Genomic DNA, 16,513 nt, shown 5'->3' with positions numbered 1-16,513 from the left:
TGAATTAGCCAAATAGCAATTACCTTTCAAGATCTTCCTTTTCCTCCTCCTGTTCACATTTCTCAGTTCCAAACTTGGCTTTTAGTGACCGAGCTCTGGCAATGAGAGCTTCCACATTAGTAATCTGGTGAATGATTTCCTGGCGGTAGAAAAGGAAGAGGCATACATTGCGAGATGGCAAAAAAGCAAAGCCCTTTGAAAACGCATCTTAAAAATTATTTTTGCCAACTGAGGAGAACACTTGGCAAGATTCTGACACTACATCAAACTTACTTCCAATTTCTTGTCTTCTGGATTGGGGAAGTGCAAAACTTTACTGGAATGGGATATTATCTGCTTTATGATCTTCTTAACTGAAGAAATGTTTTCGAGACTTTCTATTTTAGAAAAGATTGAAGCCAGCATTAAATAAATTAAGCAAAATATACTTTCACTTTGGAAATGACTAATGACTAGTTAAATATGACATTTACCTTCTTCCTTTACCTTGAGTACAGCTGCATGAATCACACAAGGTAACAGGTGCCGAGCAAGGTCTGCAGGTTTCTGGATTGCCAGATAGTGCAGCACCTGAAGGAGGTGCAGCGCACACAAATGATCAGCGCAGGTGTCAAAGGATGAAGCAGCCACTTACAGAAGTGCAAATCCTCAGCCACTCATCTTAATCCTTAACAAGACAGCACTCCAGATAGGCAGCCACGACCCCAAAGGTGAGGATAATGTTACTGAAAGCACCTAAGAACTTCAATCTTTAATAATTATAAATATTCTATTTTTTTCTGCTTTCTTATGTAATACACACAAATAAGGAAAATACAAAGAAAATAAAAACTACCGACTGATTACAATACCAAGAGAAAACAACCATTGACAGTGGAGCATTTTCATTTTAAGACGCAGAATACACGTACTAAGGGCACTAATATTAAATATGTAAAATACTGCCTTTTAACCTGCTTTTCTCACTTAATATTTCTAAACATTGTTAGTGACTTCCCACACATTTTTTGGTTTTAGTTGTTTTGGTTTATTTTTTTTCCAATTCTTATTATAAGAATACAGAGAAGTATGTACAAAACATGGACCCTACCTTTAGGCTCCTTATTCAACAGTAAAGATAAAAGAAGTATAACCCTATAAATATGTACAATTCTTTTACATCAATAAAAATTTTAAGAAGTATAATCTCATAATGTGAGTCTGACTGATAAATGCTCATGGATTTCAAAATTTTAAAAAAAATACAGGTGATGCAGAAATTTTCCTGAAATCCTACTTCCCCAAAACCACATTTTCGTGTTTATCCTCTCAAACTACTTGTATGTCCATTTAAACACAAAAATGTAGATGCATATGTAATTTCTTAACAAAAATTAATAACTTACATACTGTTTTATTATTTGCTTTATTTAATGACTTGTGGTGGACTTTTTTTTGGCTTAGAGAGTTTTGTCTGATTTGAAACTTTTTTTAAATTAAGAAATATACATACTAGAGTATTAGAAATAGTTTAAAGAAAACACCAGCTTAGGAAACAGAATGTTACCAGGCTTTTCCAAGTCCTCCTGTGTACCCTCCATCCCCAGAATTAACTACAAATCATTCTTTTGCTTTTCTTTATGGTTTTTTTCACATATGTAGCCTTAAATAATATATTGTTTACTTTTGTCTAGTTTTAACCTTTATATTAATGGAGTGTTTCTGTTTATAGCCCTCAGTGACTTGCTTTTTTTCATTCAGTATTTTGATATTCGTATACCATTCCAATATGCTATAGTTTACTCATTTTCACTGCTGTATTAAAATGTTCCTACACTAATAGTAGTGGATAGCTCCTCAGTTTTTGGCTATTACAAATGATGCTCCTATTACATTATTGCACATATTTCCTGGTGCAAATGGGACATGTACAGCAATTACTTTAGGATATATACCTAACAATTGAACTAGGAAATGTACAACATAATTATCCTACAAAGTGTTTCAACAGATTTACATTCTTATCTAGAGTAATGAGTTCCCTCTGTTGTACATCCTTGCTAATACCCACCTTTCTGAATTTTGTTTTCCCCTGATTCACAGAAAAACAAATTTGCAGGAATAACGTGAAATATGTGATTCCCCTTTACCTGGATTCACGTATGACCTGTCTCCCTCCTCTGTTCTGGATCCCTTGCATCTTTCTCTGCTTTCATGTGTGTACATACTATAGACATAAACTTGTTTCGAATAATTTCAGAATAAGTCGCACACTCATGTCCCTTATCCCAAAATATCTGTATTTCCTAAAATTAAAAATATTTTATTATATAATCAAAATGCAAATGATTCTGATTATATACAATAAATTTAACACTGATAAAAATAATTGTAATCTAACCTACTATCTTTATTGCAGTTTTGTCAACTGATCCCATATGTGTCTTTTTTTTTTTTTTTTTTTTTTTTTTGAGACAGGGTCTTTCTCTGTTGGCCCAGACTGGAGTGCAGTGGTGCGATCTTGGCTCCCCACAACCTCCGCCTCCCAGGCTCAAGCGATTCTCCTGCCTCAGCCTCCTGAGTAGCTAAGACTACAGGCACATGGCCACTACTGCCCGGCCAATTTTTGTATTTTTAGTAAAGACGGAGTTTCACTATGTTGGCCAGGCTGGTCTCGAACTCCTGACCTCAAATTATCCACCTACCTCAACCTCCCAAAGTGCTGAGATTACAGGCATGAGCCACCGCGCCCGGCCGCAAAATGTGTCTTTTATGACCCTTTCCCTCAACCACTACAAGTCTTGGTAAGGATCATCCATTGCCTTTAGTTATCATAGCTCTTTAATCTCAACTAATCTGCAACAGCTTTTCACTCTGTCTTTTATAACATTGGCATTTTGAGTATAGTTTCCTCTTCCTCCCTACTTTTTGGCTAACTAAAATTCCATACTGTATTCAGATTTCCTTAGTTTCTAAAAATTGAGTTATAACTCACATACCATAAAATTCACCACTTTAAAATGGATAACTTCAGTGGTTTTTAGCATATTTGCAAGGTTATGTTACCATCACCATTATCTAATTCCAGAATATTTTCTTTCATCTCCCCCAAAAGAAACCCAGTACCCCAAAGCAGCCACTCCTGATTTCCCCCATTCCTAATCTCCACTGCTGCCAACTACTAATCTAACTTACTGTCTCTATGGACTTGCCTATTCTGGTCCTTTCATATAAATGGAACGACGCAACATGCAGCCCATTGTTTTCTGGCTGCTTTCACTGAGCATAATATTTTCAAGATTCACCCATGTTGTAACACATATCAGTGCTTCATTCCTTTTTATGGCTGAATAATACTCCATTGCATGGACAGACCATATTTGTCTTATCTGTTCATCACTGACAGACATTTGGGTTTGTTCCATTTTTTGGCTGTCATGAATAATGCTGTCAGCATGTATGTATGTACGCGGTTTCCTTAGTTTTTATCTAATGTCATTTTCCTGTTCCAGGATCCCCTTCAAGATACCACATTATGTTTAGCTGTCATGTTTCTAGGCTCCCTTGGCTGTGACATTTCTCAGGTTTTCATTGTTTTTACTGACCTTGACAGTTTTGAGTTCTGGTCAAGTATTTCATAAAAACTCCCTCAATTATGGTTTATCTGATGTTTTCCTCATGATTAAGCTGGGTTATGTATTTCTGGGAGGAAGACCAGAGAGGTAAAGTGCCACTGTCATCACATCATGTCAGGAGTACATACCGCCAGTATGGCTTAGCCTGTGGATGTTAACCTTCACCACCTGGCTGAGACAGTGTCAGTCGGGCTGCTGCACTGTAACATCACTCCTTTCCCCTCTCTGTGCACTGTACTCTCTGGGAGGAACACACTATGTGCAGCACACACTTACAGAGTGGGAATTAGCTTCACCTCCTTGAGGGTGGAGTATCTATATACATTTAGAATTCTGCACAGGGGATTTGTCCCTTCTATCCCATTAATTTATATATCCAATCAATTATTTATACCAGTATGAACTCAAGGATATTTATTTTGTACTCTGAGTTACAATCCAATATTATTTTATTTTGGTGTTCAAATTGTTCCAGTCTTGGCCAGTTGGGAACTCTTTCAGTTGGCTCCTGTGTCTTTAATATGCCCCCAAACTTCTGCAAATTTTTCTTTTTTCAAAATCTTTTTAAAATAGAATGTTCCTCATTTTGGGTTCATCTAATGTTCCCTCACAATTAGACTAAGATTTTACATTCCTGAACCAAATGGCATGTTAAGTGGTGTTGGGTCCATCAGAGTATCATAGCCCAATGTGTACGATCTCCATTTACTCCTCATTGGTGATGTTAATTTGGAGATACTGTCCTATTTCTCCACTTTCCTTGCAATGCAGAAGCACTCTATAGAGAAACACTTAAAAATCATGCAAGATGATGCTCTTCAATTTTCCACCTAGACTTAATATTCATGATTCTTGGTGAACCAATCCTTACTATGAACATGGTTGCAAAATGAAGACTTCCAACTCCAACATATCCTCTACATTTACCACTCATCTTTGCTCTGTAGGAAATGACTTCCCCTTTCCCCTAGTTGTTTATCCATTAATTATCAATATGGTTCCAAGAATTCCTATTTTTTCCAACGGTTTATAATCATTCCTGTCCTTAAATATTTACAACTCAAAATTGTCCCAGATTTGGCCAATGTGAGTCCTTTCAAGTTAGCTCTCTATGAAATGCCCCCATCTTTTTTTAAAGCACTTCCTTAGTGTCGAGCAATCCAGGATGTTCCAGGTTCATCTTGTACCTTCCTTGCCTCAATCTTGAAATCAGTCATTTTTCTGAGGAAAGCATGGTTACTAAATGTCTAAAAAAAGGAATGTGTAAAAAAAAATCAAGCTATGTGTGCTCACTGCTATGAGGGTGTCAGTGCTTCTAGACTCTTTCAGAAGAAAGCCAGGGAATGTTTGCTTGTGTATATACATATACACAAATAGTTACTATGTCCATACCCACATACCTATCCATATTTTAAAAACTCGTAAGTCCACACCAATACCTCCAATTCCAATTCATTGCCACTGCGTTCTTCCTTGCCTTCCTTTATTTCATATTTGCATCTCACTTCCACAGTAAGAAATTCTGGCTTCCAACACCACCAACATATTTAGTTACTCACTTCACCCAACCAATAATACATCTAAAAGAGTTTCACAATTGCTGTACCCGTATCATTACAAAAACCAAGCTTAGATAATAATAGGGTTCAAGATTGTTTTTGTTTTTTTTTTTTTTTTTTGAGATGGATTCTCACTCTGTCACCCAGGCTGGAGTGCAGTGACACGATCTCGGCTCACTGCAACCTCTGCCTCCCAGGTTCAAGCAATTCTCCTGCCTCAGCCTCTTGAGTAGCTGGGATTACAGACGTGTGCTACCACCCCCAGCTAATTTTTGTATTTTTAGTAGAGATGGGGTTTCACCACATTAGTCAGGCTGGTCTCGAACTCCTGACCTCAGGTGATCTTGCCTCGGCCTCTCAAAGTGCTAAGATTACAGGCATGAGCCACCAGCGCCTGGCCTCAAGATTTTTCTTGCAGTCCCATCCCCCACCACAACTGACAGTATACAGTCAAACACATTTGATGTGTCGATAAATCACTTGGATTAGATTTTCCATCCTCCCTTCACCAATCCCCGTCGGTGTGGTTATGTTACTCATTTAAAATACAGCTGGATTAATGTATCTCAACTTGCTTTCAGGTTTATTTTTCCTCTTTCCATTCTTGTTATTTTTTTGGAATAAGTAAAGCATAGGCTAGCACAGTGGCTCACACTTGTAATCCCAACACTTTCGGAAGATGAGGCAGGAGAATTGCTTCAGGCCAGGAGTTTGAGATCAGCCTGAGCAACACAGTGAGATCTAATCTCTATAAAAAATTAAGAAAAATAATTAGTTGGGCATCATGGTGTTCACCTGTAGTCCTAGCTACTAGGGAAACTGGGCCAGGAGAATCACTTGAGCCTAGGAGTTTGAGGGCTATCTTTCTGTTGTTCAAGTGTGTTTTTGAGGAGCGTTTTGTTTTCTTCATTAAGATTTCAAATATTTTCTGTTAAGTATTTTACTTTCCCCTTATAATGAAAATTATATTTAGATCTTCTAAATGGTTATTAGTGTATATGAATGCTACTGATTACTGTATGTTAACTATATATCATGCTGCCTTCCTGGATTCTTTTGTTTTTATTAGTTTTAACATTGACTTTTTGAATTTTTCCAAGTATAGAGTCATACCACTGCAAACAGAGTTCTTCTTTCAACTCCCATGCCTCTGCTTTCTCTTGCTAATTACACTAGCTAATACCTGCAGAACAATTTTGATTGGCAGTGGAGATGTCAGGCATCCTTGCTTTGTTCCTGACCTTAGTGACCCCTAAGGCTTCCCAAATTAAGATGCTGTGTTTAGGACTAAAGTTTCTATATATTTTCTGATTTTAAGGAAGTAGCCATCTATTCCACTCTTTTCCCAAGAGTTTTAAGTTAAATTTATCAAAAGTTTTTTCAGCATAAATAGAGATACAATTTTCTACTTAAATCTATTAAGGAAGCAAATTATATAAACAGACTTCTAAATAATCATCCTCATATTTGATCAACATGTATTGTTTTCTTAAAATGATATTAGAGTCTGTTTACTTCCGATTTTGCATTAAATTTCTTAAGTATTACTGGTCTGCTATTTTTAAAAATATGCTATCTTTACCAGGTTTAGGTACCAATGTTATAGTTGCTTCACAGAGAGAAGTTGGAAAATTTCCTCCAATTATTATGTGTTGAAATAATTTATGTAGCATTGGAACTATATGGTTTCTTGATATTTAGTTGAATTTCCCTGTGAAACCATCTGGGCCTGGTTCTTTTTAATGTGGCAGTTCCTTGATAATTGTCTCTATGAAAATTTGTCTGTTTATACTTTCTGTTTTTACTGGGGGTAGTTTTGATATACATTATATTTTTGGTAGGAATTTCCCTAGGAAATTGTCTAATTCAACTTGATTTTCAAATTTACATACACAGAGATGTGCAAAGTAGTATTTTTAACACATTTCCTCTGTATCAGTAGTTACTAATATGTGCCCTTTTTGTCATTTATTATTTTATTATATATATGTGCTCTCCCTTTTCTTGATTAAATTAGCTAATGGCTTCTCTATTTTGTTGATTTTAAAAGAACTAGATTGAACTCATTAATTTCATCTGTTTTGTGTTCTCTACACTCTCTCCTTTTCATTTGCTTCCTTTTGTTTTCTTTTGATTTGACTTTTTTTCTAGGGTTTTTAGTTAGGAATTTAATTCATTTATTTTCATCCTTTTGTTTTTACTGATACAGGGCTATGAAAGTTCCTTTCATCAATTTCTTAAGTATAGCCTATAGGTTCATATGTTTTCATCCTCATTGTTTTTCAAAAATTCTGTACTTTCAATTTGTATTTTCCCCTTTCACCCATATTGTTTAATAGAAAGTTTGTATTCCACTAATTTTCTAGCCTGAGTGGTAGGCTATACCATCTGGGTCTATGTGAGTACACTCTATGATGTTCCCATGATAACAAAATTGCCTAATGAGGAGCTTCTCAAAACGTATCCTCTTTGTTAAGCCATAGGGACTGTATTAGTTCTGTCTTAGTATTCTGATTTTTCTCCTTAAAGGAAACTAATGAATTGCATATTCTGACTTTTCTTATCTTTCATTTATACTACTTTCTCTTCAATTCCTTTTACTCCTATATCTCATTTTCATTTTCTGGGCTCTTTTCCCACTTTTCTTCAATGCCCTTTATAAAATTTAAACTTGGGCCTCTTGTAATTTAGTCTTCATTTTTTATATGGTTTTCTTTTTTCTTTTACTTCTATCCTGAGCTAAATCAGTTGTGGTTTCATTTCTTTGTGGGGTTTTTTGGTCCATCTCTGTTCTTGATTTTAGTATTTCTGATTAAACATGGTTTTTTCATATCCTCCTTAACTGTTTGAGGATATCTGATTCAGTTTGGAATGTTATGTTACAATTTTCTTCTGCTTTGTGACTGATTTTCTGGGAAATATTTTCATTACCTGAAATGAGCTGATTTGCATTTTCTGTTTTGTAAAGTAGTTTTATATGGATGTGGTCTGTTCTCTTCTATTCCTAGTAATATCACAAATAGCTTCAAAGTGCCCTCTTCTGAAGTTTCTTTAATGGATAGAGGGAGATGAGGGAGGCTGGTTGTCTTGTTTTTCTTTCATTTCCGCAAGATCCTTAATTTTCCCCTCTTATTTCCTTTTTCTCATCATTCCCATCCACTCCTTCTTTGTATATCTGATTTTCTCCAAGGCTCCATTTCTAGCCCTGTTTACATTCAAGTCCCTTCCCTGTGGCAAGTGCTGTGAACTAGCAAACCCTACCTGTGTTCAGTGTTTTGGCATGTAGTGTTAGGCTCTCTCTTTCTGGGGTGACTTTGTGTTTCATCTAAGTCTTCTGTATCTCTTGGCTCTTTTTCTTTTCCTGCCCCCTACTCAATATATCTGCAAAGACTGAGAGCAGTGGGAGCTCCACTGGAATTTGGCTTATTTCTCTATTTACTGTTAATTTGAAGGTCATTGCAATTTCTATCTCTTAGTAATGCTGAATGCATGGATTTATTTACTTATTGATTTCACGGGATTTTCTTGGGGGGGTGGAGGAGGTAGGAAGGTGTGCAGGGCAATTAAATATCAGGCAGGTGCCACTATATTCTCCATAACTCCAAATGTTTTTTAATAGCTGCTGTAAAGCTGGCCACTAATGGATATACCATAATTTATTGAACCAAGTCCCTGTTGTTGGAAACTTTGGTTGTTTCTACTTTTTCACTTAAGAACTTTGTTGAACATCATTTATATACATAGATCTTTGTATATTTCTCATTATTTCCTTAAAAAATGTTTTGGTGATAGAACTGCTAGCTCAAAGGACATACCCATTTTTAACACTTTTAACATATACTGTGAGACAGTTCAATGGTAAGCAGTCTGTTTAAACTATGCATGCCTATTATTTGCCCTATTTGCAACTAGTTCTAGAATCTTAAATGTGAATAGTAGATATATAAAACGCTCATTGAATTTCAATGCTTTGCACCTCAAGTGTGTCCAAAACTCTCACGTCTATGACAGTGAGTTCCTAAATCATAAGAACAGTAATTTGCATTCTAGTATTAGAGACTCAAACCTCAATTACCTTTTCTGCTTCCCGTGTATCATCAAAGAGTCTCCTTTGCCTTCTAGCAGGAATTGGCTTAGCTGTTTCCCAGGCTTCTACCCACATATTGCTTGGAATCTTCATCCGGGCACTCAGTTCTCCTTTCAGCACCACATTGCCCTTTTCATCAATCACCTCCTCTTCAATATAATCCCGGGGTGAATACCACCTCACAAAATCTTCCAGGGAGCAACCTGGATTAGCTGCCTAAAATAAGACAAAAAAATTCAGCAGAATCAAATGAAAATCAACAGTTACTGATAAGCCTGTTTGCAAAATTGTATTTTCAAAAAAAGCCTATCTAATCTTTACAATCTAATATGTAAAATGAATTTGGATGTCACCTTTAAAATAGGTCAGATGTTAAAGTATCAAAAGCATTTTATTTTTATTTTCTCAGCTTTATAGAAAAAGAAAACATTTTCATTTAATGAATTTGGATATAAAAACTCGATGTAAAGAGAAAATCATTTCTTAAACACATTATGTGTTATATAACTTAGTAATGAAAACACTTTCATTCAATGAATTTGGATATAAAAACTCGATGTAAAGAGAAAATCATTTCCTTAAACACATTATGTGTTACACAGCTTAGTTTCATATTACAGTATAATAACTACTCAATACTAAGAAAAGTAAAAATTAAATAATACACCACATGATCAGAATAACACAGTGATGGAAAAGTTCTGTTCTTCTTTTCCTCAATAAATCAATACTGGTTCTGCAATAAATGTCAGCTAACCTCAAAACTGTTCTATTCTGCCATCAAATTCTTGTACTTTATATAACAAATTACCATCAAATTAATTGGTTTTGTGCTGTTAACGAGTTGGAATTCAAACTACTGTTTTTCAGGCTTCTGGAACCAAACTGATTAAAGTTTTACTCAGTGGATAGTTCTATAGAATTAATGATGATGTATGCCAAAAACCTTTCAGTGATTCTAACTTCAAGCTTGGAAAAAAAGACGAGGCTTCCCAGTGTTTGTGGTAAGGCACAGAGGTCTTTCTACAAGTGTTCCAGTGATGTACTAGTAGAGTCCTAAGGATGGGCATGAAAACTACCATGATGAGAATGTTCTGTCTTAAATGTGAAGAGTAAAACTACCAGTTTCTCCTCACTGAGCTCAAGGGCTACCAGCATGACCATCCCTACCATCTTAGGATATACCCCTAAGGGCATATCCCCTAGAAGATCCTTCACTGACTGTCAACAACACAAATGTAAAAGGGTTATGATACGGTCCATGGCAAAAGCAGTGGGTCAAGATTATTTCATGATACTGGGTGACTCAGGATTCATGTACAAAGATCTAGATCTTAATCAGTTAACATCATACCCACATGAAAACATCCTAGGAAACCAGAGGCCCAGAGTAAAGAGCATAAACTTCAAAAGAAAATAATATTCACTCATACACTATAGATTATATTGAAGAAAGGCATTTCATACCAAAATTCTTCTTTCTGGTTGTCCTTACTATACTAGGCTGAACATAGCTACCAAGAGAAGGCCAAGGTTCACTTGAGCTTATCTTCTCTTTACTGTTAAAGGTATGTACCACAAGGGCATGCTCCAGAATCCACCCTCTCCTTCTGGAACTCTGAGGTGTAGGTGTAGGTGCCCAGGCACATATTAGTATGCTTCCAATGCTCTGGGGACTCTCAAGAGCCCCTAACTCATCCCTATACAAAAAGTAAAGGCAACCATATCTATTTTAGAATAACTACATATTTCCTTAAATGTATTATCTGATTTCTACATATGGGTGTATATGTAAGTTGACTATTTAAATTACTGTCTATTTTCTGGTTAAAACAATGTCATGTAAGATTTGCAGGTACCCAGGTTAGCCCAAAATAGTCTAATGAATCACAGTTTTGCTGAAGTGCAGTGTTAGAGGAACTATATAGAACTTTACCAAGAAGGAGTAGTATGTTTCCATGGGGAAAAACTTCCGTAGTTCCTATTTGGAATGTCCTCCCGTGCATGCCTCTGCAAAGACACTGCAGCAGGACAGGGAAAGATGACTCTGAAGGCAGCTAGAGGTCAGATGGAAAATTACTGCTGCGGAGGCTGGTATTTCCTGCTGTGCACACACACCTTAAGCCAATTCCCTTCTCTACCTTTTGGTTTGACATGTGCCCCAAGAGCCAACTGGCTTCTCTTTATCCACTGTACCAACTATTTGTTTTAAAGCAACTCCTCTGTTTCTTGTCACATGGCAGTATAGAACTTGCAGATTTTCTGTATCATTTTAGTCTCCAAGGAAAACATATAGCTCTTAAGAGGTTCACTAAAGATGTTTTTCATTTAGAAAAGATGGGTAAAATAAGCAGGAAACAAAAGGCTCCCTTTTATTGTCACTTAAATCTGCTAGCAAAAAAGGATGAAAGTGGCATAGGTGTTTGTGGAGTGTTTATGTTTAAAAATAATACACAGGTGTTTCAGAGAAAAATCAAACTCACACTGGCCTAAACAGTACAGAAGCAGGACTGAGTAGGGGATATGGATTGGCAAGGTGGAGGCCACCACAGGTTAAATAAAGAGGGAAGTCTGCGCCTGGGGATAGTTCAGAGTATCAGCAGTAGGAAAGGAAGCCCTGTAGCCCATGGGGCTACCCACTTGGGGTTTTAACATATACGTGGACTTGCCTTTGCTTTCAAAAATAAAAGTCCTTTCTTCATTCCTAGTTTTTAAGCTAATAAGCCAAATGTCACCATTCCCTGAATCCTGTATGTTCGAAATACAGACCTGTATCTAACCCTAAAATATTCTTCAGATAGCAAATGCCTACTCATCTGAAATAGTGACTCTTCTGAGAAACCTTTCATGACCTACTCAGCAGAGTCAGTCTTTTTGACCCTGCCTCCATAAGAGAACTCATGACAGTTCCTTACATATCTCCTCCCACAACCTCAATCAACTGTAACTGAGGGTAAACACTGTATTTCTTAACTCATCTAGTCACAGTGCAAGGTACACAATAGGCACTCAAAAGTTCATTGAGTGAAGTGACCCATGTTAAATCCTAAGTTTCCTAAAAGTCTTCCATTAAATTGGCTGAACACAAACAAAGAAACCACTCCAATTCACATATAGAAATGATTCTATTCTCAACTTTCAACTATTAATAATACTAGATCTTTGCTTTTTTAAAACTTAAGAAACAAGTTTGACTATGTCCTCTGGGGGGATGGTGGCAGAGTGTTGAACTACTAATGAAATCCAAACACTTAACAAAAAGACATTCAGGCCTTTATACCACTTTACAGAGTGATTTTCACAGTTTCATCCCAGAATAGCTCAAAATAGACCCCAGAGCTCTGCAAGTGTGACCCACCTTAAAAGACTCCATATCTGAGAGCAGACAGGCACTCTGCATGCGTGCTCGAAGGTGAGCCCCCTCTGCCGATGTACCTAATTTAGCTAAAACTTCAGACTGCTCTTCTAGCAGATCTTCTGTCATAGGTGCTGGTTCCTGTGAAGCACAAAAGGACAAGGCTCATAAACAGCCCTTTTTAGAAAAAGAAGTACCATAAAAATAGAATAAAGACAACAGTCATTTCAGCTATAGCAGTCACAAGATGAGTATTTTTAAAAATTCAGAGAAATGCATAAGTTTTTTAGAACTTACATAAAAAAGAATTAAGAAAAATAAATACCACTTTCAGGCCTCCTCCCCCTCACAGATAAGATTACCATGTTTCCCTTGACAAGGATTGATAGTAAAAGACAGAGGAATTTGGGTCCACTGAGCAACATTTTCCTGCCTATTAGTGATAAAGAAATGAAGTCCTAATGATATTATTATATATGTCATCACTAGCTGCAACAAAATTTTAATTATAAGTAATAGAAATGGTTTGATATAGAAATAATTGCTCTAACAGGGCCAGGCACGGTGGCTCATGCCTGTAATCCCAGCACTTTGGGAAGCCAAGGCGGGTGGATCATGAGGTCAGGAGATCGAGACCATCCTGGCTAACACGGTGAAACCCTGTCTCTACTAAAAATACAAAAACAAAATTAGCCAGGCATGGTGGTGGGCACCTGTAGTCCCAGCTACTCAGGAGGCTGAGGCAAGAGAATGGCGTGAACCCAGGAGGTGGAGCTTGCTGCAAGCCGAGATCGAGCCACTGCACTCCAGCCTGGGCAACAGAGCGAGACTCTGTCTCCAAAAAAAAATTGCTCTAACAATGATCATCTCTGGTTATAAAACTATGAGTTTTTATTTTTTCTCTACAATGAACATGCATCACTTTTAATTATCCTGCAAGTACCAAGCAAGAATCTCACACTGAGATTTAGGGTTGAATAACAACCTGTAATGTAGTATTGTATAATGGTTAAGAGCTTGGGCTCCAGAAACTATATGCTATGTGCTTGAATCCCAGCTTTGTGACCTTGGGCAATCACTCAACCCTCATTGTGACTCACTGTTGTGAAGAACAGATCCTGGCACATGCTCGATAGATACTAGCAATTAAAGATAAAATACTTAGGTTATATTATAGGCTTCATACTTTCTCTTTGACTAAGGGTCAGTATACTTCTCAAAATATTTCAGTCAAGTTCACAAATTATATTCAATCTCTCATGAAGGAGTATACTCAAGAGCAGAGGCCTTCATTCTTTCTATTAAGAAGGGGCTACATTTCATTGGCCTACAGCCCTGAAATCACAGGATGGGAAGGAAGGAAATAGATACTGAGAGGACACTGACTATCTCTCCCACTTGGAAATTTGAGCCACTTATAAATGGAGAAGAACATGATAAAGAGGAGAATAAGCAGCAAGTTGCATGTGGGCCATACATTTTCACATATACTGTTTCTGAATATGCCCAAAGCATTCTTATATTCATGGACCCATGGGATCACTGAGAGGGGTAAGGGAATTTTGCAAGTGATGAAAATGAGGTGCAGAGATAAAGCGCCTTGCCCAGGATCACCAAGTGGCAAAACTACCAAGCAGCAAACAGAAAAGAGAATCTAGGACATCAGTTTAATGCTGACTTTAAGAATTACTAGCTTGAGGCTGGGCGTGATGGCTCAAGCCTGTAATCCCAGCACTTTGGGAGGCCGAGGTGGACGGATCATTTGAGGTCAGGAGTTCGAGCCCAGCCTGGCCAACATGGCGAAACCCCATCTCTACTTAAAAAAAAAAAAAAAAAAAAAAGATACAAAAATTAGCCAAGCATGGTGTACACCTGTAATCTCAGCTACTCAGGAGGCTGAGGCAGGAGAATCGCTTGAACCCAGAAGGCAGAGGTTGCAGTAAGCCAAGATCACGCCACTGCACTCAGGCCTCGGTAACAGTGAGAATCCCGTCACCAAAAAAAAAAAAAAAAAAAAAGAATTACTAGCTTGGTTCCAATCCACTGGGTAAGGACATTTTCTTCTAGCCCTGGCTCTAGTATATTGGGGTAAAGTCTTCAAACTTTTTCTAGCCATGTATTTTATGTTGTGACCTAAGTCTACATAAATGGAACACAGAAGTATGTTCGAATTCTTATGAAGCAACTATATAAAGTCATTATTTTTCAGTGAAGAGGCAACTGATTAATGGCACATTTTGAGCTAACTTCTAAAGCTTGAAATTACATTGGTTTCAACTGGGATCATTTTGAATTCCAACCATTTCATATAAGTACACTTATAATGATCATAATTCAAATAAAATTAACCTTAAAATAAGAAAGTAAAATGGACTAAAATTTTGCCTAGATTTACCTAAAGGCAAAATATAAAAATTAATTTCTAAATACATAAGATGCACACTGAAAGAAGAGTAAGTCAGTCCAGATTTAGACTATAAATTCAAATGTGAAAATTCAAGCATCTGAAATGAGAGGGAGCACAGCCTTTTGAAGAAAAATAAAGCACTAAATTTAAAAAGTATTATTTTTATTTCAGGAAAGAAGAAGCCTGAGCTTCCAAAATAACTTTTTCAGACTGTTTATTAACCCAGTCAAACCAAGAAAACAAATGTACAATTAGCTTATTAAAAATAGGGACTCCAATATGGGCAACAAAGCAAGACCCTGTCTCTACAAAAAATTAAATAAGTAGCTGGGCATGGTCGTGGGCGCCAATAATTCTAGCTACTCAGGAAGCTGAGGTGGGAGGACCGCTTGAGCCTGGGAGATTGAGGCTGCAGTGAGCTATGATTGAGTGCACTTCAGCCTGGGCAACAGAGTGAGACCCCGAGTCAAAAAAAAAAGGGGGGGGGAGGGGACTACTATTAATTAAAATCTGGAAGGAGAAAGGATACAAAAAAATTAACTTTTGCTGAACACTTACATGCCAAGTGTTTTCGAATATGATATGTGACTTAATCCTGAACAAACTAGAGTAATACAAACTATTATTGCTTTTTAAGAATTCAGTATTTATTTATTTATTAAACAGATAAGGAAATAGGGTTTTAAAACTGCAGAAGTGTTAGAACAAGATAGAAACTTTCATTTTTCCTTTGTTAAAAGATTTTTTTTTTTTTTTTGAGACAGAGTCTCACTCTGTCATCCAGGCTGAAGTGCAGCGGTGCGATCTCAGCTCACTGTAACCTTCACCTCCTGGGTTCAAGCAATTCTCATGCCTCAGCCTCCCCAGTTGCTGGGGCTACAGACATGCACCACCATGCCCAGCTAATTTTTGTATTTTTAGTACAGACAGGGTTTCGTCATGGTGGCCAGGCTCGTCTTGGACTCCTGACCTCAGGTGATCCACCTGCCTCGGCCTCTCAGAGTGCTAGGATTACAGGCGTGAGCGACCTCACCCAGCCCTAAACAACTTTTTAGAAGTAGAATCAACATACAATAATTTAAAGGCACATTTGATAAATTTTCGTGTGTGTGTGTGTGTGTGTGTGTGTGTTTATACCCCCTTGAAATAATCACATAATCAACATACTGAATGTATTCATCACCTCAGAAATTTCCTTATGCCCATTATTTTTGGAATGTTTATCAAGAGTGAATGGATAAACAAACTTGTATATCCATGCAAGGGAATACGACTAAACCTAAAAATGTGCATGAACTATTGATACATACAATACGTGTGAATCTCAAGATAATTATGCTGAAAGAATGCACACAAAAAATGTTATTCCATTTGCATAAAATTCTAGAATGCGCAAATTAATCTATTACTGTTTTTTAAGATGAGAAAAACAAGGCTCAGAAAGGAAACATAGCTTGTATTAGCAATGCTGTTAATAAATGGTGATGCAGG

At 37.0% G+C, this 16,513-nt stretch overlaps 1 protein-coding gene across 6 annotated transcripts in view; it reads right to left on the bottom strand.

Annotated features, from left to right (window-relative positions):
• RAB3GAP1 (RAB3 GTPase activating protein catalytic subunit 1) overlaps positions 1 to 16,513 on the bottom strand; it is a 124,105-nt gene that overhangs the window by 13,272 nt on the left and 94,320 nt on the right. For all 6 annotated transcript variants that reach the window (XR_001738674.3, XM_011510823.4, NM_001172435.2 and 3 more), the window contains 5 exons: positions 12,619 to 12,756; positions 9,249 to 9,476; positions 474 to 570; positions 274 to 377; positions 24 to 139 (listed from right to left, as the gene is read on the bottom strand). Coding sequence is in view for 5 of the 6 variants with exons in the window: in XM_011510823.4 (XP_011509125.1) it covers positions 24 to 139; positions 274 to 377; positions 474 to 570; positions 9,249 to 9,476; positions 12,619 to 12,756 (683 nt within the window). In the remaining variant the exon portion in view is untranslated. The remainder of the gene's footprint in view (positions 1 to 23; positions 140 to 273; positions 378 to 473; positions 571 to 9,248; positions 9,477 to 12,618; positions 12,757 to 16,513) is intronic.

Source organism: Homo sapiens, chromosome 2 (assembly GCF_000001405.40).
Source record: "Homo sapiens chromosome 2, GRCh38.p14 Primary Assembly".
Lineage (NCBI taxonomy): Eukaryota > Metazoa > Chordata > Mammalia > Primates > Hominidae > Homo > Homo sapiens.
Note: the sequence above shows the minus strand (reverse complement) of the source record. Positions and strands in the feature narration are given on the sequence as shown.